The sequence below is a fragment of the Homo sapiens genome, chromosome 22 (genome assembly GCF_000001405.40).
Source record: "Homo sapiens chromosome 22, GRCh38.p14 Primary Assembly".
Taxonomy (NCBI): Eukaryota; Metazoa; Chordata; class Mammalia; order Primates; family Hominidae; genus Homo; species Homo sapiens.
In genome coordinates, this window is record NC_000022.11 from 30,629,239 (window position 1) to 30,648,979 (window position 19,741).

The following is a 19,741-nucleotide window of genomic DNA, read 5'->3' on the forward strand; positions in this document are numbered from 1 at the left end:
CCATGAATGGAGCTGAATGCCCTAGCCCCCCATTCTTCCACGTGGGAGTATCCTCTTGAGAGTCCTGCTGGCTGTTGGTCAAGGCAGGTTAAAAGCTGAGGCTTAAAGTAGCCAGGGGTAGTGGCTCCCGCCTGTAATCCTAGCAACTTGGGAGACTGAGGCAAGAGGATCAATTGAGCTCAAGAACTGGAGGCTACAATGAGGTATGATCACACCACTGCACTGTACTCCAGCCTTGGGGAAAGAGCAAGACCCTGTCTCAAAAAAAAAAAAAAAAAAAAAAAAAAAAAAAAAAAAGCTTTGGGAGGCCGAGGCAAGTGAATCACAAGGTCAGGAGTTCAAGACTAGCCTGGCCAAGATGGTGAGCCCCTGTCTCTACTAAACTACAAAAATTAGCTGGGCGTGGTGGCAGGCGCCTGTAATCCCAGATACTCAGGAGGCTGAGGCAGGAGAATTGCTTGAACCCAGGTGTCGGAGAGTGCAGTGAGCCGAGATTGTGCCACTGCACTCCAGCCTGGGTGACAGAGTGAGACTCCATCTTAAAAAAAAAAAAAATGCTGAGGCCCTAGAGCCACACGGAGACCGGGTCCAAATCTCCTGCCACCACTCAAGCTGCGTGTCCCTGGCTTCTTGCTTTTTGCAGCTGACCAAGCCCTCTAATCTGCAACTGGGATAATACAGCGCCTGCCTCCAGGAGGAACAGTAAGGAGTGGATGGGATGAAGCCCTCCACCCTGGCCACAGGTGGTGTCTGTGGGTGGCAGAGCTGAGATTCCCCCACCTTGGACCCCAGTGCCGACACTTGCCATTGTACCATGCCACCTCCCTGCCCCCTGAGACTGGGCCTGAGGAAGCCACAGCCCCTCCCATGTGCCCTGGCCCCTCTGGGCTCCCATGGAGGATGGTGCTGCTGGGTCACCTGCTTTGGGCTCTGCCCTCAGACTCCCTTCACCCCAAGGTGTGCCATCCTCTCCATTCCACCAAGGCCTGTCCAGGCCTCGCTTGCTTAATCCATAGTCTTCAGAGCCACCTGTCATTAGGCAGGGCAAGTGGGAGCCGCTTCATGGTGATCTTGGAGACAGATTTTCACCATCAACCACTCCCCATCAGCTCAGCTCTGAGAAGGTACAAGGTGTTTTCGTTTTGTATAATTACTATTGTGGGCCAAGTGTGGTGGTTCATGCCTGTAATCTGAGCACTTTGGGAGGCTGAGGCAGGGGATCACTTGAGGTCAGGAGTTTGAGACTAGCCGGGCCAACATGGCAAAACTCCATCTCTACTAAAAATACAAAAATTAGCTGTAAATGGTGGTGGGCACCTGTAGTTCCAGCTACTTTGGAAGCTGAGACAGAAGAATTGATTGAACCTGGGAGTTGGAGGTTGCAGTGAGCCAAGATTGTGCCATTGCATTCCAGCTTGGGTGACAGAGTAAGACTCTATCTTAAAAATAAAATAAAATTTATTTATTTTTATTTATTTTTTTTTTGCTTTAAAAATTCTTTAATTTGATACAGTCAAGACTTCATATATAACTTCTAGTTTACAGGAAATACAGGTGATATACAGGTTATACACTGGAGAAATACAGGGAAATACAACACGAAGAAAAAAATCAGATAAACCCAGAAGAAGAGTTCTAAAGAAAAATTGACCTGGTCTATCAACATGACAATGTCAAAAATGGGGGAGGGGAGACAGGAGATGGCATCTATGCTAATTTACAGAGATTAAGAAACATAACAAAGGCCGTGGTTTTTTTTTTGTTTGTTTGTTTGTTTTTTTTTTTTTTTATTGATCATTCTTGGGTGTTTCTCGCAGAGGGGGATTTCGCAGGGTCATAGGACAATAGTGGAAGGAAGGTCAGCAGATAAACAAGTGAACAAAGGTCTCTGGTTTTCCTAGGCAGAGGACCCTGCGGCCTTCCGCAGTGTTTGTGTCCCTGGGTACTTGAGATTAGGGAGTGGTGATGACACGAGCATGCTGCCTTCAAGCATCTGTTTAACAAAGCACATCTTGCACCGCCCTTAATCCATTTAACCCTGAGTGGACACAGCACATGTTTCAGAGAGCACAGGGTTGGGGGTAAGGTCACAGATCAACAGGATCCCAAGGCAGAAGAATTTTTCTTAGTACAGAACAAAATGAAAAGTCTCCCATGTCTACTTCTTTCTACACAGACACGGCAACCATCCGATTTCTCAATCTTTTCCCTACCTTTCCCCCTCTTCTATTCCACAAAACCGCCATTGTCATCATGGCCCGTTCTCAATGAGCTGCTGGGCACACCTCCCAGACAGGGTGGTGGCCGGGCAGAGGGGCTCCTCACCTCCCAGTAGGGGTGGCCGGGCAGAGGCGCCCCTCACCTCCAGGACGGGGCGGCTGGCCGGGCGGGGGCTGACCCCCACCTCCCTCCCGGACGGGGTGGCTGCCGGCGGAGACGCTCCTCACTTCACAGACGGGGTGGCTGCCGGGCGGAGGGGCTCCTCACTTCTCAGACGGGGCGGCTGCCGGGCGGAGGGGCTCCTCACTTCTCAGACGGGGCGGCCGGGCAGAGACGCTCCTCACCTCCCAGACGGGGTTGCGGCCGGGCAGAGGCGCTCCTCACATCCCAGACGGGGCGGCAGGGCAGAGGCGCTCCCCACATCTCAGACGATGGGCAGCCGGGCAGAGACGCTCCTCACTTCCTAGATGGGATGGCGGCTGGGAAGAGGCGCTCCTCACTTCCTAGATGGGATGGCGGCCGGGCAGAGACGCTCCTCACTTTCCAGACTGGGCAGCCAGGCAGAGGGGCTCCTCACGTCCCAGACGATGGGTGGCCAGGCAGAGACGCTCCTCACTTCCCAGACGGGGTGGCGGCTGAGCAGAGGCTGCACTCCCGGCACTTTGGGAGGCCAAGGCAGGCAGCTGGGAGGTGGAGGTTGTAGCGAGCCGAGATCACGCCACTGCACTCCAGCCTGGGCAACATTGAGCACTGAGTGAACCAGACTCCGTCTGCAATCCCGGCACCTCGGGAGGCCGAGGCTGGCAGATCACTCGCGGTTAGGAGCTGGAGACCAGCCCGGCCAACACAGCAAAACCCCGTCTCCACCAAAAAAATACGAAAACCAGTCAGGCGTGGCGGCGCGTGCCTGCAATCGCGGGCACTCGGCAGGCTGAGGCAGGAGAATCAGGCAGAGAGGTTGCAGTGAGCTGAGATGGCAGCAGTACAGTCCAGCTTCGGCTCGGCATCAGAGGGAGACGGTGGAAAGAGAGGGAGAGGGAGACCGTGGGGAGAGGGAGAGGGAGAGGGCAATAAAATTTATGTATATATAAATTATTATTGTTGCTGAGCAAGGTGGCTCATGCCTGTAATCCCAGCACTTTGGGAGGCCAAGGTGGGTGGATCACCTGAGGTCAGGAGTTCGAGACCAGCCTGGCCAACATGGTGAAACCCCATCTCTAGTAAAAATACAAAAATTAGCCAGGCATGATGGCAGGTACTTGGGAGGCTGAGGCAGGAGAATCACTTGAACCCGGGGTCGGGGGGTGTCAGAGGTTGCAGTGAGCTGAGATTGTGCCACTGCACTCCAGCCTGGGTGACAAGAGCGAAACTCCATCTCAAAAAAAAAATATTACTGTTGTTGGTTTTTTCTCTCTTATTATTTTTTAATTAAATTTAAAAAAGTTTTGGTCGGGTGCGGTGGCTCACCCCTGTAATGCCAGCACTTTGGGAGGCCAAGGCGGGTGGATCACAAGGTCAGGAGATCGAGACCATCCTGGCTGACACGGTGAAACCCTGTCTCTACTAAAAATACAAAAAATTAGCCGGGCGTGGTGGCGTGAACCTGTAGTCCCAGCTACTCAGGAGGCTGAGGCAGGAGGATAGCATGAACCCAGGAGGCGGAGCTTGTAGTGAGCTGAGATCGTGCCACTGCACTCCAGCCTGGGCGACAGAGCGAGACTCTCTCAAAAAAAAAAAAAAATTTTTTTTTGAGGCAGGGTCTTTGTCACCCAGGCTGGAGTGCAGTGGTGCAATCTTAGCTCACTGCAGCCTCCATCTCCTGGGCTCAAGGGATCCTCCCTCCCAATCCCCTGAGTAGCTGGGACTACAGGCAGACACCACCATGCCAAGCTCATGTTTGTTTGTTTGTTTGTTTGTTTTTGAGATGCAGTCTTGCTCTTTCGTCCAGGCTGGAGTGCAGTAGTGCGATTTCTTCCAGGCTGGAGTGCAGTGGTGTGATTTTGGCTCACTGCAAGCTCTGCCTCCCGGGTTCAAGCGATTCCCCTGCCTCAGCCACCTGAGTAGCTGGGACTACAGGCGCCCACCGCCACACCCAGCTAATTTTTGTATTTTTAGTAGAGACGGGGTTTCACCATGTTGGCCAGGCTGTCTCCAACTCCTGACCTTAAGTGATCCGCCAGCCTCGGCCTCCTAAAGTGCTGGGATTACAGGCGTGAACCTCTTCGGCCAGCCTCCCAGCTTATTTTTGTATTTTCTGTAGACACGAGGCTTTGCCCTGTTGCCCAAGCTGGTCTCCAACTCCTGAGCTCAAGTGATCCTCATGCCTCAGCCTCCCAACGTGCTGGGACTACAGGCATGAGCCACTGTACCCAGACTATTGTTTTTTACTAAAGGAGACTTACTAGAAAACTGACAAAATCCAGGCTGGGCGTGGTGGTTTACGCCTGTAATCTCAGCACTTTGGGAGGCCAGGGTGGGTGGATCACCTGAGGTCAAGAGTTTGAGACCAACCTGACCAACATGGTGAAACCCTGTCTCTACTAAAAATACAAAAATTAGCCGGGTTTGGTGGCGCACGCCTGTAATCCCAGCTACTCGGGAGGCTGAGGTAGGAGAACCACCTGAACCTGGGAGGCAGAGGTTGCAGTGAGCTGAGATCGTGCCATTGCACTCCAGCCTGGGCAACAAGAGCGAAACTCGGTCTTGGAAAACAAACAAACAAAAAAACCTGACAAAATATCAAAGATAATTATAACCCTTAGGGGTCCCAGATTTCTCTTCCTCAGGAAATGGCAAGGGGGTGCGGGAGAGGGGCCATCCGCTTTGGCTGGCTTAGTTTCCTTTCCACAACCCTTTCTGGAGAAACACTAAATGCCACCATTTTTTGGTCCTTGGCCTGGAAATTTCCCTATCTGCACCCCCTGCGCTGTAGCTTAGGCTATTCAGCAGAGATCTGCAGGCTCCAGCGGGCGTCGGACTTACAGAGGCAAATGTGACCATGTAAATTCCCAGGCCCACCCGTGACAGAGAGCCTCTGATTCAGCAGGCCTCCTTTGAGGCTGGGGATTTTAAACCCGCGTCCTGTGATTGGGATGGGGATTGAGGGCTATATTCAGCGCCTGGCCACCAGAGGGCGCAGCGGGCTGGGTTCAGCGGTACCCCTTTGAGATCTTGTGTCTCAAGACAGGTTGCTGTCATCAAGGATTTGCTGGTTAGACAACAGGCAAGGGGTGAGCTGGGTCCTCTTGGGCAGGAGCCTAGTAGGAAGACCGACAACAGGAAAGAGGCTCACATCTGATACTGGGCACATGGCTGGGCCTTGGTCCTCGTGCTCCCGGACTTCAGAGCTCAGAGGGGCCAGGGCCTGGCCTAGCCTGGAATCTGGATGGACCTCTTCTGCCCTGGGGCGCGCCGTTTACCCAATCCTGACCTCAGAGAGCGTCTGTCGTTCTGGTGGGAAAACCGAGACCCAGACAGGAACAAGGGCTCAGTGGCAACCGCTCTGCCTCCCAGCCCAGGGCTCTGTCTTGCCGGGGCTGGGGCACAGGGTGGACCCCAGGAAGTTCTGCTATGAGTCAGCTTCGAGTGCTCAGGGGACCGGACAGAGGCTGCTGGCCGGGGAAGGATGCCGGCCGGCGGTACCTACTTCCGCAGCTGTGGGTATCCCTGCCTGGTGATTCAGCTTCCCTCTGAGGGTCCCCAGGGGGCGCCGCCCTGGACTGGGAGGCTGGGGAGGATGCTGGGGCTACGGAGGGGCGATGGAGGTGCCTTAAGGGACCCCGTAATCCAGCTCTGCTGGATGCTGAGGTCCCACGAGATAATTGTGGCCAGAGATCAGGTGGGCGTAAGACTGGTCCTAGGATGGGGGCTGTGGGCCCCTCCTCACTACCCTGCTTCTTGAAGATAGCCTGGGCGGCTGTGCGGGATACCCCAGTGTCTCCAGCAATGCGCGTTCATCTCCATGGAGGGCTCGCCTTGGCGCTGGGTGGGGAGCGACTTGGTCCCCCCTGGCGGCGAAGAGAGGCTGACCACGCCAGCTCGTGGGGGGGTCTACTGGGCAGATGCGCAGGCCCCGGGCGGAGGAGGGCTGATGGGGGAAATGCCAGGCCGATGGGGGAGGGGCTGTGAGCGGGAGGCGTTGGGGCGGGGCAAGACCGCCCTCCCGGTCCGGGGGCGGGGCTTGGCCTGGGGCGGGGCTTGGCTGGGGTGCTCAGCCCAATTTTCCGTGTAGGGAGCGGGCGGCGGCGGGGGAGGCAGAGGCGGAGGCGGAGTCAAGAGCGCACCGCCGCGCCCGCCGTGCCGGGCCTGAGCTGGAGCCGGGCGTGAGTCGCAGCAGGAGCCGCAGCCGGAGTCACAGCCGCAGCCAGAGCCGCAGCCAAAGCCTCAGAGAGCAGGAGTTGGAGCGCAGGCCCTGCTGGATCCGCGCCTAGCTCGCCGCCAGGCACCGGCCGGAGGACGGGCCGTGGTGTCAGCTCACTGCCCGGGCGCTGTGGGAGGCAGCGAGCCCGCGACCCCCCGGGCCGGGCACCGCCAGGCGCGGAGCCCAGATCGCCCCCCTGCCAGGCCTGGTCACGGCCAGAGCACGCAGGAGTTCCCAGGGTCTGGATCTGCGCGCACCCTAATGACCTGGGGACTGAAGAGAAAAAAGGAACGAGGATTTCATCTAAAAGCATAACGTGGGCACTAGGCGAGGAGGAAAGTGGAGACCACCTGGCACGGGGCAGAGGTGCCTGGAGCCCACGCTTGAGCATCGGAGACCCTGGCATCCTAGCAGCCGCGACCTTGGCTCTGCCCTGTCTGAGCTGGAAACACAGCTTAGCTTCTAGACATCGCTGGCACAGGCCTGGCACAAGTAAGCAGTGTCCTCACCTGTCTGAAACGGGACACGGGGTCGGAGGAACCAGGATCTAGCCTGGCCCCAAGCGGAACTCTCTGGTGGCCCAGAGGTCGTCACTGGGGAGCCCGCCTCCTGCCCTAGCCTCACTGGTGCGGATGTGCCGCTGCCCGCCGGAGCACCATGATGGCAGGATGACCTCAGCCGAAGTAGGAGCAGCAGCTGGTGGTGCTCAGGCGGCTGGGCCCCCCGAGTGGCCCCCTGGCAGCCCTCAGGCCCTCCGGCAGCCTGGCCGGGCCCGAGTGGCCATGGCAGCACTGGTGTGGCTGCTGGCGGGAGCCAGCATGTCAAGCCTCAACAAGTGGATCTTCACAGTGCACGGCTTTGGGCGGCCCCTGCTGCTGTCGGCCCTGCACATGCTGGTGGCAGCCCTGGCATGCCACCGGGGGGCACGGCGCCCCATGCCAGGCGGCACTCGCTGCCGAGTCCTACTGCTCAGTCTCACCTTTGGCACGTCCATGGCCTGCGGCAACGTGGGCCTAAGGGCTGTGCCCCTGGACCTGGCACAACTGGTTACTACCACCACACCTCTGTTCACCCTGGCCCTGTCGGCGCTGCTGCTGGGCCGCCGCCACCACCCACTTCAGTTGGCCGCCATGGGTCCGCTCTGCCTGGGGGCCGCCTGCAGCCTGGCTGGAGAGTTCCGGACACCCCCTACCGGCTGTGGCTTCCTGCTCGCAGCCACCTGCCTCCGCGGACTCAAGTCGGTTCAGCAAAGTAAGTGCCTGGGTGGCCAATTGAGAAGGTGGGGGTCCGGGTGGGTGCATGGCCTGGATGGCCCTGTGAGGGGTATGGCTGTTGTCCCATTTTACAAATGAGGAAACTGAGGTTCATGGCTGTGGAGGAAGCAGAACTGAGGCTCAGAGAGGGCCAACAGTTCAGTGAGTTCCAGGCCCCAGACTCAGGCTCTGGAGGCCCAACTCGTGTTTATTTGTTTATTTACTTATTTAGACAGGGTCTGGCTCTGTCACCCAGGCTGCATTGGTGAGATCTCAGCTCAATACAGCCTCCGCATCCTGGGTTCAAGTGATTCTTCTGCCTCAGCCTCCCAAGTAAGTGGGACTACAGGTGCACACCACCACGCTAAGCTAATTTTTGTATTTTTAGTAGAGACAGCATTTTACCATGTTGGCCAGGCTGATCTTGAACTCCTGACCTCCCAAGGTGCTAGGATTTCAAGCGTGAGCCACCCCACCTGGTCAGCTAATTTTTTTTTTTTATAGACACAGAGTCTTGCTATGTTGCCAAGGTAGGTCTTGAACTCCTGTCCTCAGCGATCTTCCCCCCTCAGCTTCCTGAAGTTCTGGAATTACAAACCAGTATTTAGTGATAGCCAGTGATCTGTGTTTGACTAGCCTTTTATCTCACTGTATTGTTCCCATTTGATAGATGAAGAGGCTTGCCCTGGGCCACGTGGCCAGTGAGCAGCAGAGGCAAGATCTAAACCCAGATAGTCAGACTCCATGCTTCCAAGAGATGTGGCCTGAGGCTTTGGACACAAAGGAAAGCCAGAAAGCATGGGCCAGGGAGAGAAAAGGAGGGTCTGGGATGAGCTGGGATTTGGAAGGTCAGGGGTCAGGTCTAAGTCTGGGGAGGGCTGTTGTTTACTGGGAGCTACAGTGTGACAGGCTTGGTGCTGAGTGTTGACCTTGAGTTGTCATGGCAACCACCAACTTTATCCCCATTTTACAGATGATGGGACTAAGACCCAGAGAAGTTCATGATTTGACAGGCTGGGCATGGTATCTCATGCCTGTAATCCCAGCACTTTGGGAGGCTGAGGTGGGAGGACTCTTGAGACCAGGAGTTCGAGACCACCCTGGCCAACATGGTGAAACCCTGTATCTATTAAAAATACAAAAATTGGGGCCGGGCGCGGTGTCTCATGCCTGTAATTCCAGCACTTTGGGAGGCTGAGGCGGGTGGATCATGAGGTCAGAAGTTCAAGAACAGACTAACCAAGGTGGTGAAACCCCATCTCTACTAAAAATACAAAAAAATTAACCGGGCGCCATGGCAGGTGTCTGTAATCCCAGCTACTCGGGAGGCTGAGGCAGGAGAATAGCTTGAACCCGGGTGGCAGAGGTTGCAGTGAGCCAAGATCGCCCCACTGCACTCCAGCCAAGGCGACAGAGTGAGACTCCATCTCAAAAAAAAAAAAAAAAAAAAAAAAATTGGGCCAGGCGCAGTGGCTCACAGCTGTAATCCCAGCACTTTGGGAGGCCGAGGCAAGTGGATCACCTGAGGTCAGGAGTTCGAGACCAGCCTGGCCAACATGGGGAAACCCTGTCTCTACTGAAAATACAAAAATTAGCTGAGCGTGATGGTGGGCGCCTGTAATCCCAGCTACTCAGGAGGCTGAGGTGAGAGAATCGCTTGAACCTGGGAGGCGGAGGTTGCAGTGAGCTGAGATCACGCTATTGCACTCCAGCCTGGGTAACAAGAGTGAAACTCTGTCTCAAAATTAGCCGGGCCAGGTGGCATGCACCTGTAATCCCAGCTACTGGGGAGGCTGAGGCATAAGAATTCCTTGAACCCGGGAGAAGGAGGTTGCAGTGAGCTGAGATTACACCACTGCACTCCAGCCTGGGCGACAGAATGAGACTCTGTCTCAAGAAAAAGAAAGAAGTTCAGCCCAGCGCAGTGGCTCACACCTGTAATCCCAGCACTTTGGGAGGCTGAGGTGTATTGGGGGAAATTCAGCCAGATATCGGGCGAAATTCACCCCTGATATTTCACGTAGGTTCTTTTCTGTATTACCTAAGTGTCAGCTGGTCTGAGAAATAAAGGGACAGAGTACAAAAGGGAGAAATTTTAAAGCTGGGTGTCCGGGGGAGACATCATATGTCGGCAGGTTCCGTGATGCCCCCTGAGCCATAAAACCAGCAAGTTTTGATTAGTGATTTTCAAAAGGGGAGGGAGTGTACCAATAGGATGTGGGTCACAGAGACCACGTGCTTCACAAGGTAATAGAATATCACAAGGCAAATGGAGGCAGGGCCAGATCACAGGACCATAGGACCGGGGTGAAATTAAAATTGCTAATGAAGTTTCGGGCACGCATTGTCATTGATAACATCTTATCAAGAGACAGGGTTTGAGAGCAGACAACCAGTCTGACCAAAATTTATTAGGCGGGAATTTCCTCGTCCTAATAAGCCTGGGAGCGCTATGGGAGACTGGGGCTTATTTCATCCCTACAGCTTCGACCATAAAAGATGGCCGCCCCCCAGAAGCAGCCATTTTAGAGGCCTACCCTCAGGGACGCATTCTCTTTCTCAAGGATGTCCCTTGCTGAGAAAAAGAATTCAGCAACATTTCTCCCATTTGCTTTTGAAAGAAGAGAAATATGGCTCTGTTCCACCCGGCTCACCGGCAGTCAGAGTTTAAGATTATCTCTCTTGTTCCCTGAACATTGCTGTTATCCTGTTCTTTCAAGGTGCCCAGATTTCATATTGTTCAAACACACATGCTCTACAATTTGTGCAGTTAACGCAATCATCACAGGGTCCTGAGGCGACATACAGCCTCCTCAGCTTACGAAGATGATGGGATTAAGAGATTAAAGATAGGCATAGGAAATCACAAGGGTATTGGTTGGAGAAGTGATAAGTGTCCATGAAATCTTCACAATTTATGTTCAGAGATTGCAGTAAAGACAGGCGTAAGAAATTACAAAAGTATTAATTTGGGAAACTAATAAATGTCCATGAAATCTTCACAATCCACGTTCTTCTGCAATGGCTTCAGCTGGTCCCTCCGTTTGGGGTCCCTGACTTCCCGCAACAGAGGTGGGAGGATCACGAGGTCAGGAGATCAAGACCATCCTGGCCAACGTGGTGAAACCCTGTCTACTAAAATTACAAAAATTAGCTGGGCGTGGTGGCGCCTGCCTGTAATCCCCCCTACTCGGGAACCTGAGGCAGGAGAATCACTTGAACCCAGGAGGCAGAGGTTGCAGTGAGCCGAGATCACGCCACTGCACTCCAGCCTAGGGACAGAGCTAGACTCCATCTCAAAAAAAAAAAAAAAAAGAAGAAAGAAAGAAAGAAGTTCATGATTTGCACAGAGGTCACGGGGTCCCTAATGATGTGAAGCATGGTCTATGTGACTCCAGATGCTGGCTCTGATGAAAGAGGGCAGCAGGGCTCTGGGCAGTTTAGGGCCGAGGCTCCAGGCCCAGACCCACTAGATCATTCTGCCTGAGGGCGAAGGCTGGCTTCCTGCCTTTCCTACTGAGGGGCATCTGAGTCGCAGCCTCTATCCTCTCTCTGCCTCAACCCAAGGAGACATAGGGGAGGCCAGGGTGCCCACTCAGGGTGGGGAGGCCTGGGTTCCAGCCATACCTTTGCTCATATTTGCTGGGCAACCTTGGGCATATTGGGATTTTATCTGGGCCTCAGTTTCCTCATCTGTCAGTGGAGGAGAGTTGGAGTTGATGGAGTCCAAGGGGCCTCTTGCTCTCCCTTCGCCCTGAGATCCTGTGACCCAGGCCTGGGAGAAGGAAGTGGGCACACCAAGAGTGCTGGGCTGGGATTGATGACAGCCCACAGCCAGGGAAGATTGAAGTCAGAGTTCAGCCCTGCCCTGGCGTATTCAGAGCTGACACAGAGGCCCTATCTCTATCCTCCCTGGCTCCAAGGCAGGGTCAAAACCCAGTTCTATTTTTTGCCCTCAGGTTACATGAGAGCTAGAGGCTGAGCACAGGCATGAGCTCTGGGCATGAGTCTGCACTGGGAAACCTGACCTGTGGGCACCCCTGTGCAGGCCACAGGGCTGTGAAGGTCCTAACCTCAAGGCCCATGCTGCCCCTGCTGAGAAAGAGTCAGTGCTTCTCACACTGGGACCCAGGCAGCCCCAGCCTGCAGGAGGGGCAATGGCCGGCCAGGCCTCAGGCACTTGGGCATGGAGTGGCATGTGCCTGGCATCGGGCTGCATCTTGACTCCTGCCAGCTCCCTCCTTCCCTCCCTCCCTAGTCTTAACTCCTGACCCCTGGGAGGTTGAGTCCTTGCTCTGGGCTCCTGCGGTATCCTCTGCTCCCCCTATCATGGTTCCAAATGCCATGTATGATCACCACCTGGTTACCTGTCTGCTGCCTGCCAGACAGATTTGGGGCAATTCTATGTTCCTGGAACCTAGCCCTGGGGCCTTGCAGAGGATACATAATTTGTAAATTATAATTTTTAAATTTTATTTTATTATTTTTTTTTTTGAGACAATCTCTCTCTGTCGCCCAGGCTGGAATGCAGCAGTGCAATCTCAGCTCATTGCAACCTCTGCCTCCTGGTTTCAAGCAATTCTTGTGCCTCAGCCTCCTGAGTAGCTGGGACTACAGGCTCATGCCACCGTCCTGGCTAATTTTTAATTTTTTTTTTTTTTTTTTTTTTTTTTTAGAAACAGGCTCACTATGTTGCCCAGGCTGGTCTCAAACCCCTGGCCTCAAGTGATCTTCCCTCCGGGCCTCCCAAAGTGCTGGAATTACAGGTGTGAGCCAACATGCCGACAGATTTACTGATGGCTCTGACAGGCGAGCTGATCTCATAGACTGGTTGGGCTGCCTGATTCAGGAGGGAGTTTAGGGGGCTAGAGGCCCCACTAACAGAGATAGGAGCCCTGCAGAGATGGGGAGGAACAGACTTGAGCCAGGGCCTGAGATAGGCTTTTTTTGCTTGTTTGTTTGTTTGTTTATGAGAGGGTCTTGCTCTGTCATCCAGGCTGGAGTGCAGTGGCTCACTGCGGCCTCAATTTCCCAGGCTCGGGCAATCCTCCCACCTCAGCCTCCCGAGTAGCTAGGACTATAGGCGTGCCTCCATGCCCAGCTAATTTTTGTATTTTTTGTAGAAATGGGGTTTCATCATGTTGCCCAGGCTGGTCTCCAACTCCTAGACTCAAGTGATTTACCCACCTCGGCCTAAAGTGCTGGGATTACGGGCATGAGCCACCACACCCAGCCTGAGATAGGTTTTGAACAAAAGGTTTCTACTGCAGGAGGCTCCAGGAGAGGCACCAGGGCCAGATTCAGACGTGAGTGTACGTGGCTGATGCCAGCTCCATTCCTGAGAGCAGAGTTTGTGGGAGCAGAGGGCAAGTATCCAGAAAGAAGGCTGGGCATGGTGGCTCACGCCTGTAATCCCAGCACTTTGGGAAGCCAAGGCAGGCAGCTCACTTGAGGTCAGGAGTTCGAGACCAGCCTGGCCAGCATGGTGAATCCCCGTCTCTACTAAAAATACAAAAAAAATTAGCTGGGCATGCTGGTGCATGCCTGTCATCCCAGCTACTCGGGAGGCTGAGGTAGGAGAATCTCTTGAACCAGGGAGGCGGAGGTTGCAGTGAGCCGAGATATCACACCATTGCACTCTAGCCTGGGCAACATCTCAAAAAAAAAAAAAAAAAAGGCCAGGCACGGTGGTTCACACCTGTAATCCCAGCACTTTGGGAGGCCAAGGTGGGTGGATCATGAGGTCAGGAGATTGAGACCATCCTGGCTAACACAGTGAAACCCCGTCTCTACTAAAAAATACAAAAAAATAGCCAGGTGTGGTGGTGGGCACCTGTAGTCCCAGCTAGTCGGGAGGCTGAGGCAGGAGAATGGCGTGAACCCGGGAGGCGGAGCTTGCAGTGAGCCCAGATAGCGCTACTACACTCCAGCCTGGGCGACAGAGTGAGACTCCGTCTCAAAAAAAAAAAAAAAAAAGTATCCAGAAAGAGGAGAGCCCAGGCAGCTGTTGGCAGGGCCAGCGACTTCCCTCCTTCTTGGGCCAGTTGTAGGCCCAGGGAGCCTGCACAAGGAGAGGGGTTATGCCATCCTCCTACCCACAGAAAGGGTGGGAAGTGGGGCGCCAGCCTGCTGAGCTTGCTCTCAGCTGGACTCCCCCGCCCGTCCGCATCACAGAGCAGGCGGACTCAACCCCTCTGAGCTCTCAGGCTGATGGGGGAGATGCACTCAGATATAGAGATCATGATGGCAGAAAAGAAGTTCTAGAGTCAAAGTGGTCACACGTGTTGGGGAGCGGTTGCTTCTTCCTGGGGAGCGCTGAGAAGGCTATCTAGGGGAAGAGACATGCAATGATGATGACAATAATGTAACCATGAGAGCAAACATTTGTTGGGGCCTCCCTAGGTGCCCACACCATGCCCAGCTCTTCATACTGAAGGAGGAGGAAAGGGTGATCTGGGAATGGGAAACAGGCCGTGCCAGGGCACAGGGTGTCAGCCAGCAGGAGCAGGGTGTGGGGATCATGCCAGCTGCCGGGGTGAGCCGGCATCAAGGACATCACACAGGGCATCAGGCCCTGTGTTCAGCACCTCACATGTGAGGGGGCTGTTGCTACCCGAGCCACACGACTTAAGGAGACTGAGGCGTGGAGAGAGGGAGACAGTATCACACAGCCCGTGAAAGAGCAAAAGGGCCAAGCCAATAGCAAGCAGACAGGGTTTAGAGAAGGGTCAGCTGTTGTCTGCATGTGGCAGAAACTTGGGCATGTTCCAATAGAAGGAGAGGTGGCAATGAGGCAGGACAAACAGGCTGACATTTTGGGGTCCCCAGGTAGAAGCCAGTCACCGCCTCTGACAGCGAATGGCTGCCCTTTCCCTGGGCTGCAGGGAGGGGAGGTGGAGGATTGGGTGGGATGTACAATAGGTGTGAGGAGATGGGTGGGAAGTTTAGGACCTTCCTGCCTGGCTGCCTTGCAGAGGGTGAAATTTACCAAAGGTGAAGTTCACCTGAAAACCCAACCGCCTTCTTGTGATGGGACGTTTAATGTGCAAGCCACAGGTAGCTCATAACACTGTTAACTTTCGAGCCTGCGAGCAGGAGGCATTCTGATTATCTGTTCATTTCTAGAAACGCTTGAGCCAGAGGGACTGTTTGTTGCCTAGAGAACAAAGCTAAAACATCGGAATGAAATTGAGAGAGAAATAAAATTTCCTATTCTAAGCATAGCCTATGAGTAAGCATCTCTGTGGCTTTTTGGAAAGTGTGTGTCAGAAAATGCATAGAGGCTCACAGAGGCCTGGGAGGGGACCTGTGTCGACTACTCATCTCTCTCCACTAACTTGGCAAAGGCCCCATGCCATCATTGCCCTCATGCAAATAATGTCATTTCAGCCAGGCGCAATGGCTCACACCTGTAATCCCAGCACTTTGGGAGGCCAAGCTGAGCAGATTGCTTGAGTCTAGGAGTTTGAGACCAGCCTGGGTGAACCAGATGACGAAACCCCATCTCTACAAAAAATACAAAAATTTTCAGGGGTGATGGTGCATGCCTGTAGCCCCAGCTACTTGGGAGGCTGAGAAGGGAGGATCGCTTGAGCTCGGAAGGCAGTAAACTGACATCGTACCACTACACTCCAGCCTGGGCAAGAGAACCAGACCCTGTCTCAAATAATAATAATAATGTCATTTCGCCTGGGCAAGAGAACCAGACCCTGTCTCAAATAATAATAATAATGTCATTTCGCCTGGGCACCCCTTTGTGAATTGGCTGGTGGTGGCATGTGTACACGTAGGTACACACAGATACACAGTCACACATAGGCAAAGCAGCAAGATCCCCTCCTGCCTTACAAAGTGAAAAGGTTTCCTCTTAGTCCTGGATTCATCTTGACAAGCCACAGTATTAGCAGGAAAAAAAAAAGATGCTGATTATCAGTTATAAACAGTGAGTGAGAGCCAAGATCCCACAATGACCTTTTGTCCCCTTGTCACTCCAGTGGTCATAAGTGAATGAGGCAATGAATGGGTCACACTTTTGACCCAATTTATTATTTTCTTTTATAAACTCTTCTTTTTTAATGCAAAGGCCCCCATGTGGCTAGTAAGTGGCAGAGCTGGGACCCTCTGCTGGCCTGCCCTTTCATGGTGGCTGGAACTGCAGTGTGGGAGTGATAGGGGCTGAGGCGGGAAAGGTGGTTGGGGCCAGTTGATGCAGAGTCTTCGAAGCTGGGTGAAGAACCCTGGGCTGGGTGCACTGGCTCAACGCCTGTAATCCCAGCACTTTGGGAGGCCGAGGTGGGAGGATCACCTGAGGTCAGGAGTTCGAGACCAGCCTGGCCAACATGGCGAAACCCCGTCTCTACTAAAAATACAAAAATTAGCCAGTTGTGGTGGCGCATGCCTGTGATCCCAGCTACTTGGGAGACTGAGGCAGGAGAATCACTTGAACCTGGGAGGCAGAAGTTGCAGCAAGCCGAGATCATTCCACTGCATTCCAGCCTGGGCAACAGAGCAAGACTCTGTCTCCAAAAAAAAAAAAAAAAAAAAAAAGAACCTAGGACCTTCAGGGCCAGGGCAGCCCCTGAAGATTTATTTTTATTTTTTAGAGACAGGGTCTTGCTCTGGTCATTGAGGTGGAGTGTAGTAGCATCATCATAGCTCACTGTAGCCTTCCTCTGGGCTCAAGTGATCCTCCTGCCTCAGCCTCTCAAAGTGCTGGGATTACAGGCATAAGCCACTGTACCTGACCGATTTTTTTTTTTTTTTTTTTAAGACAGGGTCTCGCTCTGTTGCCCAGGCTGGAGTGCAGTGGTGCAATTTTGGCTCACTGCAACCTCCACCTCCTGAGCTCAAGATCCTCCTGCCTCAGCCTCCTGAGTAGCTGGGACTAAAGGCACGTGCCACCACTCCCAGCTAATATTTGTATTGTGTAGAGGCAGGGTTTTATCACGTTGCCCGGGCAGGTCTCAAACTCCTGGGCTCAAGCGATCCGCCCTCCCAAAGTGCTGGGATTACAGGCATGAGCCACCACACCCAGCCTTTGTAATGTTTTTTGAGCCACTTAGTCTTCATGCTTATTGATCATTTAGATATCCCAAGCATATCATTGTTTCAGCTCGTGGGAGGCAGTTTGAAGTGGCTGATAACAGACTTATTTATTTTAGTTTAGTTTTTTATATTTACTGAGCATTTCCCATTTAAGGGCTTTATGTATGCCGTCTTTTAAAATGTTTACAACAACCCGTGATTAGGTTTTATTATTACCCAACTCTCCAGGTGAGGAAACTCAGGCTTACGGAGGTTAAGTGCCTCTCATGAGCCCAGGTCACAGCTACTCAGGGGTGGACACAGGTCACAAACCCAGGTGGTCTGACTCCAACTCTTGACTGTCATGTTTCAGATCAGGAGCCACTAGCCCTGCCCGAGGGGTCCGGGTAGGCTTCTTGGAGGATCGGCCATAGGGGTCATACTGGGGTGGCTGGAGGGGGTTGTGTCCTTCTGGGTGCTCATGGCGGTTGTCCTGTTGCAGGTGCCCTGCTGCAGGAGGAGAGGCTGGACGCGGTGACCCTGCTTTACGCCACCTCGCTGCCCAGCTTCTGCCTGCTGGCGGGTGCAGCCCTGGTGCTGGAGGCTGGCGTTGCCCCACCGCCCACTGCTGGCGACTCTCGCCTCTGGGCCTGCATCCTGCTCAGCTGCCTCCTGTCTGTTCTCTATAACCTGGCCAGCTTCTCCCTGCTGGCCCTCACCTCTGCCCTCACCGTCCACGTCCTGGGCAACCTCACCGTGGTGGGCAACCTCATCCTGTCCCGGCTGTTGTTTGGCAGCCGCCTCAGTGCCCTCAGCTACGTGGGCATCGCACTCACTCTTTCAGGAATGTTCCTTTACCACAACTGCGAGTTCGTGGCCTCCTGGGCTGCCCGTCGGGGGCTGTGGCGGAGGGACCAGCCCAGCAAGGGTCTTTGAGACCTGGGGGATCTCAGGAGCCACCTGGGATGGCCCTGGCCTGAATCCAGCCTCCGCTGTGGCCATAGAAGGAATGGAGAACAGGGCTGGGCATGGTGGCTCACGCCTATAATCCCAGCACTTCCAGAGTCCGAGGTGGGTGGATCACCTGAGGCCAGGAGTTCGAGACCAGCCTGGCTAACATGGCAAAACCTCATCTCTACTAAAAATAGAAAAATTAGCTGGGCATGGTGGCGCGTGCCTATAGTCCCAGCTACATGGGAGGCTAAGGTGGGAGGATCACTTGAGCCCTGGAGATCGAGGCTGCAGTAAGCCAAGATCGCATGCTACTGCACTCCAGCCTGGGAGACAGAGCGAGACGCTGTCTCAATTAAAAAAAAAAAAAAGTGGAGAACTGGCAGTGACCTCTACTGGGGGCCATGGCAGGGAGGGGAGCCTTCTGGAAGGGCTGCCTTGGAGATTGGAATGGGGACTCCCAGGGAGACCTGCGTTCCATCCCTGCCTGCCTCACCCCTGCCACAGACTCTGCACACCACTGGATGGTGGGTCCAAGCCTGGCACAGTCCCTGTGCTTGTCAGAGTCATTATTATGATTAATATCAATTACGATGCCAAAAATTGCTGGGCAAACTTTGAAGACCTCAACTTGTTACAATGACGATGATGATGATTCTTGGCGGTTACACAATCCTTCCTCCTGGGGGGGAGGCAGCTAGGAGGCCCAGCAGGGGGGCTTCTATGCTGCTGGGCTCCCCTAGGGAGTTGGGGTAGTCTGTGCCAACTCCAGGCAGCTGCTGTGGCCTCACCCCTGGGCCCCCCAATTTTGGGTCATCCATCCTCAAATACACTATTTTTGCTTGTATGCCTGTGTCATTTGTTGGTTGTACAGAGGGGATATAGGGAGAGTGGTAGGCTTCCCACACAGAAACTAGGACATCCTCCCTTACCCATCGCAGTCTGTCTGGCCCCCCACCCCGAGCCCAGTGCCATTCCCTCAAATCCCTCCACTGGCTGGGCTACCATTGCCCATCTTCTGGACAGTGGCAGTGGCCTCCCCCTTGCTCTGCCTGGCCCCTCTACTCCATCTTACACACAGACCCCTTCACCCAGAGGGATCTCACTAAAACGTGCACATTCTGATGTTCCTCACTGCTCTTGGGACAAAGTCAGAATTTCCTACCCCAGACCCCAACTCACTCAGGACGTGGCACCTGCAGCCTCACCCAGCTTGTCTCCCTTCCCCTGGGCTCTGCCTTCCAGCCTCACCGACTTCTTTCAGTTCCCCGTGATACCAGGCCTGCTCACTGAAACCTTTGTACATGCTGTTCCCTCCGTCCAGTCCCCGCTTCCTACAACAACCTCCTCCCTTCCCACAGCTTAAACCCCTGCCTGGAGGAGAAAACCCAAACATGCAACTCTTTTTAAAAAGAGAAATCCAGGCCGGGCGCGGTGGCTCACACCTGTAATCCCAGTACTTTGGGAGGCCAAGGCGGGCGGATCACCTGATGTCAGGGGTTCGAGACCAGCCTGGCCAACATGCTGAAACACCGTCTCTATTAAAAATACAAAAAAATTAGCCAGGCCTGCTGGCGTGCACCTGAGGCAGGAGAATCGCTGGAACCCAGGAGGCAGAGGTTGCAGTGAGCCGAGATTGTGCCACTGCACTCCAGCTTGGCCAACAAGACCGAAACTCCATCTCAAAAAAGAAAAGAAAAATCCAATCGCTTGAGGCCAGGAGTTGGAGGCTGCAGTGCACTATGATCATGCCACTGCACTCCAGCCTGGGTGACAGAGCAAGACCCTATCTCTTTCAAAAAAAAAAAGGGCTGATGAGGGTCTTGACAAGGGACTGTGCTCAGGAGGCTTGCAGGGGTATAGGGGAGCAGGGCTCCCATGTAGGGAACCTAAGACAGGAGTCCCAACCCCCAGAGCTCCCTGACTCGCCAGC

The 19,741-nt window shown here is 54.1% G+C and overlaps 1 protein-coding gene across 3 annotated transcripts in view, besides 3 other annotated features; it reads left to right on the top strand.

Moving 5' to 3' along the window:
* Positions 5,265-5,969: an enhancer, noted in NCBI's record as "H3K27ac-H3K4me1 hESC enhancer chr22:31030490-31031194 (GRCh37/hg19 assembly coordinates)". NCBI's record gives its function as "activates a minimal SCP1, AML or CMV promoter by ChIP-STARR-seq in naive H9 embryonic stem cells {active_cell/tissue: H9 hESC(naive)}" and the evidence as "EXISTENCE:reporter gene assay evidence [ECO:0000049][PMID:30033119]".
* Positions 6,301-6,750: a silencer, noted in NCBI's record as "silent region_13614". NCBI's record gives its function as "represses an Ori minimal core promoter by ATAC-STARR-seq in GM12878 lymphoblastoid cells {active_cell/tissue: GM12878}" and the evidence as "EXISTENCE:reporter gene assay evidence [ECO:0000049][PMID:35858748]".
* SLC35E4 (solute carrier family 35 member E4) overlaps positions 6,543-19,741 on the top strand; it is a 33,239-nt gene continuing 20,040 nt past the window's right edge. For 2 of the 3 annotated variants that reach the window (NM_001318371.2, NM_001318370.2), the window contains exon 1: positions 6,543-7,831. In NM_001318371.2, the coding sequence (NP_001305300.1) occupies positions 7,213-7,831 (619 nt within the window). In that variant the 5' untranslated portion in view covers positions 6,543-7,212. Of the gene's footprint in view, positions 7,832-17,359; positions 18,656-19,741 lie in introns of those variants that run through there. The other variant, NM_001001479.4, reaches the window with a different exon arrangement.
* Positions 16,952-17,534: an enhancer, noted in NCBI's record as "H3K4me1 hESC enhancer chr22:31042177-31042759 (GRCh37/hg19 assembly coordinates)". NCBI's record gives its function as "activates a minimal SCP1, AML or CMV promoter by ChIP-STARR-seq in primed H9 embryonic stem cells {active_cell/tissue: H9 hESC(primed)}" and the evidence as "EXISTENCE:reporter gene assay evidence [ECO:0000049][PMID:30033119]".